Consider the following 13,109-nt stretch of genomic DNA (forward strand, 5'->3'; position numbering starts at 1 on the left):
AATAGGTCTGCCCAACTTCAGAGCCTGTGAACAGCAGGCTCAACACCTGCCACATCAGCCTCATTTAACAGGCAGAGACACTGAGGCTGAGAGAATGCAGGTGACGTGCACTGAGGCAGGGGCAGAGGCTGAACTCTGAAGACTACTCCTCCTGACCCACCCCAAGGCTTTTTTGCCTTGTGATGCCTCCACTAGGAATGCCAGCTGGCTTTTTTGGTGGGGTACATGGACTGCTCTGTGTAGTCACTCTCCTGTTCTGGACCTCAGTTTACCCCCTCAACAAGGTGGCATCGTTAGAGTGTGAGCCCCTGCTGTCTCACTGAGAGGAGCTGAGAAGAAACATGGGGCGTGCATTCAAGGTGTTACCAGGGAGCTGGTGGGAGAAGCAGTCTCAGTCTCAAAGATCCACAAGCTCTGTAATGTCCACAGAGCAAAATCCTAGGTAGGATATCCAGGCTGCTACTCAACAGTCTTCCCACCAGAGTACATGTGCAAAACCCTCAGGGAACCTGGGGACTTCCCAGAAGTATTCAGACATGGATGGCTTCCAGGGAATCAACTTCTGAAAGCTCCACTTCCTGTGCTTCTTCCTAAAACTGATCAGCCGGGAACCCTCTGGGTCTGCCAGTTCTCCCCTCACCAAGGCCCTCCTAAACACTTCCCAAAAGAAAGGCCTACCCCCAGTCATCCCAACCTCACCCTGGTATCCCGCCCTGGGTTATAAAAGCCACCAAAGAGACAACGGAAGAATGCAGCCCTCATGGGAGGAGTTCCAGCAGGACAAAGAACTTCCTTAAGATGTTGAGAAGGGGGCCTTATCTATCTTACCTACCCATCTGTTTATTTTAGGATTAGAATTAGGAAGCTGACACAGGGACACCTGTTTAACCTGTTTAATAAATATTTGAATTAAAAAGAGGAGTCAGAGTTTTTCCGACACAAAGTATGATTTGGCTGGCTGGTCTAACCACAAGATCCAGCCTGGCCAATTAGGAATTATGGTGGATGTTTTCCACAACTGCCTGGGCTGGGTTTGCTGTTCTAAGGCTTTGACAAAAATAAATTTGAAGCAAGTAGATGGCATACAATAGGCCTGGAAATACATTCCACTTAAAGTTATGATAAAACATTTTATATGTCAATTTTTATTTTTATTTTTATTTTTCTGAGATGGAGTCTCACTCTGTCACCCAGGCTGGAGTGCAGTGGCATGATCTTGGCTCAGTGCAGCCTCCACCTCCCGGGATGAAGCGATGCTTCTGCCTCAGCCTCCCCAGTAGCTGGGATTACAGGCGCCTGCCACCACGCCCAGCTAATTTTTGTATTATAGTAGAGACAGGGTTTCTCCATGTGGGCCAGGCTGGTCTCGAACTCCTGACTCCAAGTGATCCTCCTGCCCTGGCCTCCCAAACTGCTGAGATTACAGGTGTGAGCCCCTGCACCCGGGAATATATGTCAATTTTTATGTTTTCTTAATTAATTTTTCTTTTGTGAGACGGAGTTCTGCTCTTGTCATCCAGGCTGGAGTACAATGGCGCGATCTCGGCTCACTGCAACCTCCGCCTCCCGGGTTCGAGCAATTCTCCTGCCTCAGCCTCCCAAGTAGCTGGGATTACAGGCAGGCACCACCATGCCTGGCTAATTTTTGTATTTTTAGTAGAGACAGGGATTCACCAAGTTGGCCAAGCTGGTCTTGAACTCCTGACTTCAAGTGATCTTCCCTCCCTGGCCTCCCAAAGTGCTGGGATTACAGGCGTGTGCCCGGCGATATATGTCAATTTTTTAATATATGAGGGGATACACAGTTGTTCAAAATTCTTTTGAGGTGTACAAGTGAAAGAAGTTTGAAGCCTGTTGCTTTCCTTCCCTGGAGCCATGATCAAAGGCTTAAGCTCCCACACCGACAAACCCACTAAGCCATGCACATAGTAAGTTTTCAAGACAAGGCAGCTGCAATGTATACAACAAGCACTAGACCTGAAACCTGGGTGTAACTTTATTTCTGCTACTTCTTAGCTGTGTGGCTCAGAAGGTTAAGCCACCCAGCCTCCTTGAGCCTCAGTTTCTCCCTAAGTACATGGAGATAATACCATACAAGATATATTCAAAATCCTGATGACGAGGAGGACATTAAATGAACAAGGTAAAAGTGCCTCAGCACAAACAGCCCCCAGTAATAGCCAACCAGCAAGCGTTTTCTGTTTGGCTTGGACAAATTGATGGTATTTGTCTCTAGACAATATTAATAACTAACATTTATCGAGCGCTCACTATGTGCCAGGCACTGGACTAAGTGCTTCACAGGCCCCGGCTCATTTTGTTTTCACAACAACGCTGCAGGAAAGATGCCATTCTTATTCCTGATCCACAGGCATGGAAAGCTTAAAGACTTGCTCAACTCACTCAGCTAGCAATTAAGGGCCCAGTAGGTCTTTTTGATTCCAGTGACTGTGCTCTAAAAACCCTCCCTACTCAAAGTGCAGCCTGAGACCAGCAGCATCAACAGAGACTGGTACCTTATTAGCAACGCAGGATCCCAGGAGCTACTCCAAACAAACTGAATCAGTATCTGCATTTTAGCAAAATCTATGAGGGATTCATATGCACATCCAAGTTTGAGAATCACTGCTTTAAACCTCTAGTCTGGCTAATTTTACCATCCTGGTTTTATCTTGCTGAAGGTAATATTACTATGTTTGCTTTCTCCATGCACACACACACACACAGCTGTCAATTAAAGCAAGCAAGATGGTTAGGGATTATAATAATCCATCAGCAACACATGCAAAATGCATTTTTAGAAAAGGGCTAGGAGGATCCACATCAAACTGTCATCAGTGGTCACCTCTGAGAAATGGGATGGGATTGGGGGGTTGTTAGGAGGAGCCAAAGAAGGCTTTTTATTATCTGAATTTTCTTTTTCTTTTCTTTTTTTTTTTTTTTTTGAGATGGAGTCTTGCTCTGTTGCCCAGGCTGGAGTGTAGTGGTGCAATCTCGGCTCACTGCAAACTCCACCTCCTGGGTTTGAGTGATTCTCCTGCCTTAGCCTCCCTTAGTAGCTGGGACTATAGGCTCCCACCACCACCATGCCGAGTAAATTTTTGTATTTTTATTAGAGAACAGGGTTTCGCCATGTTGGCCAGGCCAGTCTTGAACTCCTGACCTCAGGTGATCTGCCCGCTTCATCCTCCCAAAGTGTTGGGATTACAGGTGTGAGCCACCATGCCCAGCTGAAATGTTTAATAAACAGAGTATAGTTGTATATAGGTTATACAATTTAAAAGGAAAGTATGTTTTAAAACACATGTACAGATCACTGGGAATTAGTTGTACTTTATGAGCTCCGTCTATCCAAGGTTATTGTCAGCTATCCAGCCTCTGACTGTGGAAAGCCAAGGTAGCGAGTTAATAGGGAGATATTGGTGGAACAAAAGGAGTGCTGTGCTTGGAGCTGGAAGACAACAGTCCAGACTCTGCCCCTGATTTGCTGTGCGATCTTGAGGCTCTCCTCCACGGGCCTGTGTTTCCTCTGCTATAAAATGGGGGGAACCCCCTTCCCCTCTCAGGGACCAACAATGCAGTGAAAGGCATAAAAGTTCCTTGTGAACTGCAAGGTGCTTGGCAATGCAACGGCCGAGTGTTTTCTTGAAAAGAAAAGAGATGAAAAAAAAAAGCAGTGAAACATTCACCCTCACTCATTCCATTCCCCAAACACAGATATCCCATGACTTTATAAGGAAGATATACGGAGTAACCTGGATTTAGATTCCGTGGGAGCCTCAGGCTGATTTTCAAATCCTTATTCGAACTTAGAAGTTAGGCTTGGACGTGGTTCAAAACATGAAAAGAAAGGGCTATTTCTCAATGTCTGGCCCATTTGCTTTGTGCTTCTCTCCCGGTTTCTCTGCAGGCTCACGAGGGCTGGGGAGCTTCTGTCCCAGGGTTCTGTGTGCTTCCTGTCTGGGCGCAGTGGCTGCCCTCTCCTTTGCTTTCATGGCTTTCTACCAGCACCTGTCTCCAGTGCTACCTCTCAGCTGCTCTTAGAGCAAAAGACCTGGGGTCTGTGGTTCGGCTCAATTCTCACCACTGCCTCTGTTTTCCACTTTGTATCTTAGAAGTCAGATTTGGTCAGGCGCAGTGGCTCACACCTATAATCCCAGCACTTTAGGAGGCCAAGATGGGCGTATCACTTGAGGTTAGGAGTTCAAAACCAGCCTGGCCAACATGGTGAAACCCTGTCTCTACTAAAGATACAAAAATTAGCCAGGCATGGTGGCACGTGCCTGTAGTTCCAGCTATTCAGGAGGCTGAGACAGGAGAATCACTTGAACCCAGGAGGTGGAGGTTGCAGTGAGCCAAGATCACGCCACTGCACTCCAGCCTGGGCAATAGAGACAGACTCTGTCTCAAAAAAACAAAAAGAGATCAGATCTGCAGAAAAAGCAGCAAATGTTACCCCTGGCTCATCTGGAGGGTGTGGAGTTTGGATATGGAGGGATAAAGTGACTTGCTCAAACTCATATAGCCGGCTTAAAACAAACACAGTTGGGTGGGGTTCTCTGGCCCAAAAGTCCAGGCTTCTTTACCCTGTTTCCTCTATGACCTTTGGAAATAACCTCCTTTCCTCAAGACTTGTCCACCACTCATTTGCAACTTGTCTGTCACTGACCTCCCCCCTCTGTTCATTCTAGGAGACATGAATCTGGGGATTAAAAGTTTCTGTGCTTTTCTTCAAACAGAACAATCCTAAAACCACATACTCTGAAAGTATCATTGAAACTGACCGAGAAGAGAATCCTCAGCCAGATTTTCCATGGAGAACCAGACCTGTCTAAACCAGTATGAGCTTTCATTACAGTAAAGTAATGGCAAAAGAAGCCTCGGGGCAGACAATTCCAGATTCACTATTTAAGTGGCCTTAGGTGACTGGATTCACCTCTCTGAGCCTCCATTTTTCTCATATGAAAGACAGGAAGAGTGCTACCACCTTTCAGTTTAAAAGGAAGATTACAAATAAGGATAAAGCTCTTCCTACATAGCAGGAGCTCAATAAACAGCAACTATTACCATCATGATCGCTGTCATTCCAGACCATCCATCCCAAAGACAGGGGTCTAAATCAGTTCTGCAATCCAGCTGCACATTAGAATCACCCAGGGAATTTCTCCCTCTCTCTTTTTTTTTTTTTTTAAATAGGGTCTTGCTCTGTTGCCCAGGCTGCAGTACAGTGGCATGAACATGGCTCACTGCAGCCTTGACCTCCAGGGCTCAAGCGATTTTCCCACCTCATTTTTTGATTTTTTATAGAGACGGGCCTTGCCACATTGCCCAGGCTGGTCTCAAGCTCCTGAGCTCAAGCAATCCATCCACCTCGGCCTCCCAAAGTGCTAGGATTACAGGCATGAGCCTCTGCATCTGGCTGTGAATTTTATTTTTTGTTTACAATTTCCAACTAGCTCCCAGGTGATGCCAATGCCACTGGTCCATGGCACCCAAAACTCAAGGTGTTGGGCAGATGGCTGGAAAGGTTACATGAATCTCTGTCCAGCCAGGCTAGAGTGCACTGCCTCCTGGAAGCAGACAGTCAACTATATGACCTCAGATTAGGGCATGAAGACTCAGAACCAAAGCTTGTCCTCAGGTGACTCTCTCTCTCTTTGGCTTCCTGTTGGCTTTTTGGGTTCTACCAAGAGCTGCAGACAAGTGTGGCCACAAAGATGCACTAGCAAATTAACCATGGTGCCACACCCTGCTTTCACGTAGAGCTGCCGTCTCAAGATCATCCAAGGGAGAGTCAGAAGGCAAGGGCCCTGGTCACTTTCACTCAGATAAGCAGGGTATAGGACAGCATGGCCTGCCTTGGCTGGATGTCCCAGCCAGAAGGAGCTGAAACAATGGCAACTCTGGTCAACCAGACTTCTCTGATCAGCCAACCAGGAAAGCTTCCCACCAGGAGCTGGCAAAGTAAAGGCACAGTTGATGGGCTCCTGTGAAACGAGAGCTGGTGGGGCGCTGGGTGGCAGGCCCTTCTGGCTTTGAGGTTGGTGCATTTTGTGACCCTGAACATCAACAAAACAATACTGACTGGACACCTACTATGTGCCAGGCAATGTTACATAAATATTTTCATTTGAACATCACATCAACTTTGCAAGGCGGGCATCATCATCTTTATTGTACACATGAGGAAACAGGCTCGATGGATAAGTAACAATGGAACTTACACAGGACAGAGCCAGAAATGTAACTAAAGCCTGTCCAATACTTCCTACTTCTACTTTTTTTTTTGAGATGAGGTCTTGTTATATTGCCCAGGCTGGGCTCCTGGGCTCAATCAATCCTCCTGCCTCAGCCTCCCAAGTATCTGGTTCTACAGGCACACACCACTGTGCTCCGATTCTTCCTGCATTTTTTTTTTTTGAGACAGCGTCTCACTCTGTTGCCAGGCTGGAGTGCAGTGGCACGATCTCAGCTCACTGCAACCTCCGCCTCCCAGGTTCAAGCGATTTTTATGCCTCAGCCTCCCAAGTAGCTGGGACTACGGGCGGACGCCACCATGCCCAGCTAATTTTTGTATTTTTAGTAGAGACAGGGTTTCACCATGTTGGCCAGGATGGTCTTGATCTCTTGACCTCGTGATCTGCCCGCCTCGGCCTCCCAAAGTGCTGGGATTATAGGCGTGAGCCACCGCGCCGGGCCTCTTCCGGCTTCTTTACGTTGCTGCTCAAAACTCTTAATCTCTGCGACTCATTTTACCCTTTCATTTGGGGCAGAGAAGAAAGGGAAAAGTGTGTAAATCAATAGAACTGGAAGTGGTGTCTATCCCGTGTGTTGCGTGGCTAAGCAAGGCACCCAGCCCCAGGCCCAGGGAATGAGACTCTATCGATGCACTGATGGGCACCGAGAGCCAATCTGAGCCTGGGTCCCATCACCCCACCCCTGTATAAGCCACAGGAAGCTTCCTGAAGCTGTCAAAGGGCGCTCAAATGAGTGTCCCACTTCTATGGAGCCAAGGGCTGAAGAGGCCATGCTAGAAGCCGCTGTCCCATCAAGGCCCCAGGCCTGTACCACAGCCAGGTCCCTCCTGCTAGCAGTTTGGCAAGAAGGGTCCTTGGCAGAGGCCCCAACTCTGGATTAATATTACACCAAGAGAACCCAAACAAATGGCTCCTGACTTTCACGCTCCATAAAGTTCTGAGGCTTAAAATAAAGATGAGTTTGGAGGGGAGGGGGTGTCAACAATAGTCAGCATAGCAGAGCCACAGGATGAAACACTGTACAGCCACTTAAAAGAGTGTTTAAAACCACACCGTTCCATTAAAAATTCTCATTATGTAGTGTTACACCAAAAAGCTAGATTCAAAGGTATGTAAATCAGTAAGATCACAACTAGTTTTTAAAACTTGTGCACATTAAAAAAAAAAAAAAGAACAGAGGGAAATATAACCAAATGTTTTCAGCCGTAGTACTGAAATTATCAGAATGATCAATTTTACTGGAAATTAAACATTTTCCAGTTTTTCTTTAACGAGCATGTAAACTACCCAGGGGGCAAGGGGAACACATTCTGACTAAAATCCGTGTGACTGAGAAGTCAGGATGAAGAGCTGCTGGGATGGAATAAACCCCTCCAGGCAGCCCCGAGCAATGAGATGGGACAGGCACAGCTGTAATCTAGAGGCCCTCGGGCTCTGCTGTGGTCACACCTAAACAAGCAAGCCAGTGCGGTACCCTTCCCAAGGGGCAGAAGTTCTCCAGGGAACATAACCAAAAGCCCATTAGCCCTTAGAGTGCTCTAAAGAAGTTTGGCAAAGACACTGCAGTGAAACACAGCCTGCTCAGGTGCTCTGCCCCAGGCAAAGAGACAGAAGACAGCTGCCGCTGCAGGGTCCAGTGTCCCTGAGAGACCCCCAGCAGACGAAGATCCCTGCCAGTGCCGCCACCCCCAAGCATGAGGATATAAAAGAGATAAGCTTCACCATCTGGGGCACAGGAGCCTCCTGGGAATGCCTGCCTGAATGAGGGAGAATGGCAGGTCCCTAAGCCATGTGCAAATGTGAAGGAGGAAGAGGGTCAAAAGAGAAGGAGCCACAGCAGCTGTCTCTAAAAGAACACTAATTACAGGGCCGTCCTCCCTTACCCAGGCCTGGTACTGCCAGCAAAGATGCTCTCGAGCTCAGCGTTCACCTGACCGCCTGTCCTCTGCCACCTGTGGTTGGCCCAGAGGTGGCAAGGGTGGTCTGGCTGGGGCTGCAGGCCTGATGGCTCCCCAAGCTGGGTGGGGAGGCCCCAAGCCCAGCTTACTGGGAAGTCCTCATCCTAGGGTCAGGGGCCCTGTGCCAGGAGACCCTGGAACATGGGGATAACTAGAGAACTTCCTTCTCTGGAAATGTTAGAGACCCACCAATACTGGAATGGAAAAAGTGACGTATTCATCCCTCAAAGTTGCGAGAGGGGCAGAGTCAAGTGCAGAGGTGAGAAATGCCAGTTCTCCAGGGGTCCCTCACCTGCCACTCATAGCAAGGAGCTCAAGTTCACCATCACCAAAGGTGCCTCTGCATGGCCTCCTGCTGCTGGCATTTTGCTGAGACACTGGAGAGGACCGAAAAAGGCCCACACCAAGCCAAAAAGGTGGGCAGGAGGAAAGAGCATTGGCCTAGCAGTCAGACTAGCCGGATCTTGTCCCCATTCAAGCCCCTTCACCCCCTGAAATAGGTGTGATTCCCATCCTAGATACTACATCAAAACATTTACAGATCGGTGAGAAATGTATGGGATGGGACTTCTAAAAACAACCAAATTCTGGCCGGGTGCAGTGGCTCACACCTGTGTAATGCCAGCAATTTGGGAGGCTGAGGTGAGTGGATCACTTGAGGCCAAGAGTTCAAGACCAGCCTGGACAACATAGCAAGACCCTGTCTCTATTTACAAATTTTAAAATAAAAAATAAATTTAAAGCTGTCAAATTCTAAACAAATGGAAAGTGTGGTTAAGATGCACGGGAAGTCATTATAAAGTGAAGGCATTTTGCTTCTCTTTCAGGACAATATGCAAATTAGAGGCAAAAATATAACCACATCGTTTTTCTTTTCAAACCACTCATGTATCCACCATAAAACAGAGTTATGGGGCTGCTTCTGGAACATAGGAAATGGGGCTCAGCGGCTGGTGCCACACCGGGCCTCTTGGACCAAAGCGGGAAAGGAATGACTCAGACAGGGAAAGGAAGAGACAAAACCAATGAAACAGGAGGAAACGTAGGGAGGTTGGAACCCAGCATCTCTGAGAAAGAGGCCCAGATGAAAGGGAGGCGCAGCTGGGGGAAACAGGCCGGCAATTGTTTGTAGGGATGGCCGGCCCTGCTGCTTTGTGTGTTAATGTAATTAAGGGCTCAGTGGGGGCCAATGTTTAGAATCCTTTAACTCCCTGCCATTCTCACCGAGCGGCTGGGACAGAGAGTGGGGCTGTTATGGAGGGTGCCAATGGGTTTCTGGGCAGCTCACTTAAAAGGGCATCCAGGGGCAGGCGGGCCTGGGCAGCAGGAGGTGAAGCCCTCATTCCAGGGTGCCTGAGAGGCACTTCCTCCTCCTCCCCACTCCCCCCGGGAGTCTCCAGAAGCCCTGCCATTGCCCTGACCCCAGTTAACACTCCTGGTAATTGCTGGGGCTGCTGCAGAAAGCCTAGGGAGAAAGAAAAAAAAAAAAAAGCCAGAGTTAGAGAGAGAAAAAAAAGTCTGCTTCTCCAGTGTTCATTGAGGCTTCCCTCCTGCCCACACCCTCTGGGTTGGGGCATCCAGTTTCAAGGAAGCTCCCAAGGCAGGGCTCTCCATGCCTGAAGCCAAAATCAACAACAGCACATGGAAATTACTGAATAGGAGCAGCTGGGTTTAGCAGGCTTCTAGGAGCCCTGCTCCAAAGCTCCCAACCCCTCAAATTTCCAAGAGGTATGTCAGGGGATCTGCCCCCCAACCCCACTCATCCAAAGAAAGCCTCACATTAACCCACAGCCCAATAACCTGTTGCTCTGCAACAAAGACAGTGCAAGTTCTTGCTACCAACATGAGATTCCTCTGGATGGCAATGGACATTCTGTAGGCAAAACAATTCATGCAATGTAAGCTTTAAAAATATTATCCCATCTAACTTCACAACTACCCTGTAAGGTCGGTACTGTTCTTTCCTCCACTTTATAGATGGGGAAACTGAGGCTTAGAGAGACTAAATAGCTGTACCCAAGGTTAACAAGCCCACAAGTAGCAGAGGAAGGATTCAAACCCTGGCACCCTGACTCCAAAGCCTGTGTATTTAACCCCTAGTCTATGCCACAGGGCACTCAGGTAGTCACTGGGCAGTGGAAACACGCCTTGTGAAGCTTACAGCCTGGCACAAGGTTCTTAGCGAAGGCTCTGTGAGATTTCTGTGAGGTCTATGGAACCCCTCGTCCCAAAAATCGAATGCAATTTAATGTGTTTGTGTGTGCCTATGCTTTTTGGGAGGGGTGTCAAAGTTCTCTTTAGATTATCCACAGGATCTGGGACCGGAAAAAAGCTTAAGAACCTAGGGCCGATGGGCGTGGTGGCTCACGCCTATAATCCCAGCACTTTGGGAGGCCGAGGTGGGCGGATCACCAGGTCAGGAGATCGAGACCATCCTGGCTAACACGGTGAAACCCCATCTCTACTAAAAATACAAAAAATTAGCCAGGCGTGGTGGCGGGTGCCTGTAGTCCCAGCTACTCGGGAGGCTGAGGCAGGAGAATGGCGTGAACCCAGAAGGTGGCGCTTACAGTGAGCTGAGATCGCCACTGCACTCCAGCCTGGGCGACAGAGTGAGACTCTGTCTCAAAAAAAAAAAAAAAAAAGAACCTAGGGCTAATAAGGTAACAACCCTCCGATGCCTTGTGAAGTACATTCTAGAACACAGATCTTCCGATTTGAGTCCTCTACGTTTTCACGCAACCTCTTTGCTATCAAGAAATAGCGAAGAGGGCAACTTGAGTTTCTCCAGAAAGGGAGAATATACTGGCATTCGAGAATTAGAGGTACCTGGCACTGAAAGTCCACCCAGCCTGCCTGGGAGACAGTATCCAGGATATAAACTCGGGGTGGGGGGCGGGAGGGAAAGGGTTAAGAGTCAGGTCCTGTGGGATTAAAGGATTTCCTACTCTGTGTTTATTACTTCTTTCCATCACTTAAAAACAAGTTCCAACATTGTCCCAATTCTGATCCTGGGTTTTACTTGGATCCACACTGAGAAAAATAATTCATTACGGCAGCCCCAAACTATCAGAAATTAGCAGGCGGGGAAAAAAAGTTTCCATTCCATACTAATTTGCCACAGTTTTAAAGGCCACCGTCTGTCTAAAAACAAGGGTGTTCCTTAACTGAGGCCATTGTCCTCATTTCCAGATGCTCCAAGACAGCAAACAATGACAATGATGCTGCTGCCAACATTTGACACCCAATATTATCAAGCCCAAATTCTGTGTGCTGGGCTCTTAACGATAAGCTTTACCCAAACTTATCTCATTTAATCCTCACCCCTGCCCTATGAGGCAGGGGCATTATCATCTCCAATTTAGAGATGACAAAATTAAGCCCCAGAGAGGTTAAACAGCCGCCCAAGAACACACCGCAAGTCAGTGACAGTGCCAGGATTCAAACCTGGATCTATCTGACCCCAAAGACAGGGCTCTAGACCAGGGCCACTAAAAGTATGTCCACAGACCACCTACAAACTGTTAGTTGTGGGTCCTTACCAAATAAGTAGAGAAAAAGAAAGGAAGGAAGGATTTTAAAATGTTTCTAGCAATCTGACCTTAGCACAATATCCAAGCATGTGATCTGTGGACTTCCCTCTTAGAACAGGGTATAGACCAGTCTGGATGTTCTCAGACTGGCTCAGACTGGTCATGCTCATCGGTTCCTGAACTAAGGAATAGAGCATATTGTCCTTCACCTCAGATACTTTGAGAAGCACTGTTTTAAAGCACTGCAAAGACGGGTCATACAAGACACTCAAACAAGGTTCAGCACGTCCCCAGCTGTCCCTGCAGCATCCAAAGTCTTCTAGCACAGCGCTTCTCAGTCTGTCTCTCTCTCTCTTTTTCTTTTTTGAGACGGAGTTTCGCTCTTGTTGCCCAGGCTGGAGTGCAGTGGCGCGATCTTGGCTCACTGCAACCTCCGCCTCCCAGGTTCAAGCAATTCTCCTGCCTCAGCCTCCCGAGTAGCTGGGATTACAGGCAGGCACCACCACGCCCAGCAAATTTTTTTTGTATTTAGTAGAGACAGGGTTTCACCATGTTTGTCGGGCTGGTATCGAACTCCTGCCCTCAGGTGATCCACCCGCCTCGGCCTCCCAAAGTGCTGGGATTACAGGCGTGAGCCACTGCGCCCGGCCACTTCTCAGACTTTAATGTGCACACGAACCACTGGGGACCTTGTTAAAATGTAGATAGATTCAGGAAGTTCAAGGTGGGGCCCGTGATTCTCCATTTCTAACCAGGTGATGTCAGCGCTGCTGGTCTAGGGACCTGACTTTGGGTAGCAAGTCTCCAACTGCACAAGCAGACCAGAGCCAACGAGGCTGATGCTGTGAACTCCACCTGGCAAACAAGTCGGACTCCAGCAAAGGCTCACCAGTTAGCACTGGCTGTGAGGAGGCCAGAAGGTAGCCCTTACAAACACCTTTCCCCAACTCCAGGCTGAGTCTGGGATGCCCAGGGGCCCTTTTATCCTGAGTCAGAAACCAAAGCCCTCTCCGTCCCAGGGGTTTAACAGAAGGCAGAGAAAAGCAGCTCAGAAGCACTTGCAAACATTGCGAGGAACGCTACCCACAACCACAGCAAGAGGAGGGAGGATTTTGAGAAAACTGTGCCCACTTCTTTGGTTCTGCTCAAGCCAGACTGAAGCTGGGTCTCCAACAGTGATGGCCTGGGAGAATCACTACACACGTGTGTTTGGACAGCACTTTCTACTTCTTAAAAAGAAGATATCCACATCTATCGTGAAAGCTGAGAAATCTAAGAGCTGGAAGCCTGGGAGGAAGGGATGTGCTGTGGCCAACACAGGAGGGCAGAAATGACCCCTCTGTGACCGCTCCTGTAGCCAG

The 13,109-nt window shown here is 48.3% G+C and overlaps 1 protein-coding gene across 5 annotated transcripts in view, besides 1 other annotated feature; it reads right to left on the reverse strand.

Annotated features, from left to right (window-relative positions):
- Window positions 1–13,109, reverse strand: part of CUEDC1 (CUE domain containing 1) — a 94,170-nt gene that overhangs the window by 56,462 nt on the left and 24,599 nt on the right. The window lies entirely within an intron of this gene.
- Window positions 9,508–10,023: an enhancer, noted in NCBI's record as "OCT4-NANOG-H3K4me1 hESC enhancer chr17:56004573-56005088 (GRCh37/hg19 assembly coordinates)". NCBI's record gives its function as "activates a minimal SCP1, AML or CMV promoter by ChIP-STARR-seq in naive H9 embryonic stem cells {active_cell/tissue: H9 hESC(naive)}" and the evidence as "EXISTENCE:reporter gene assay evidence [ECO:0000049][PMID:30033119]".

The sequence above is a fragment of the Homo sapiens genome, chromosome 17, assembly GCF_000001405.40.
Source record: "Homo sapiens chromosome 17, GRCh38.p14 Primary Assembly".
Taxonomy (NCBI): domain Eukaryota; kingdom Metazoa; phylum Chordata; class Mammalia; order Primates; family Hominidae; genus Homo; species Homo sapiens.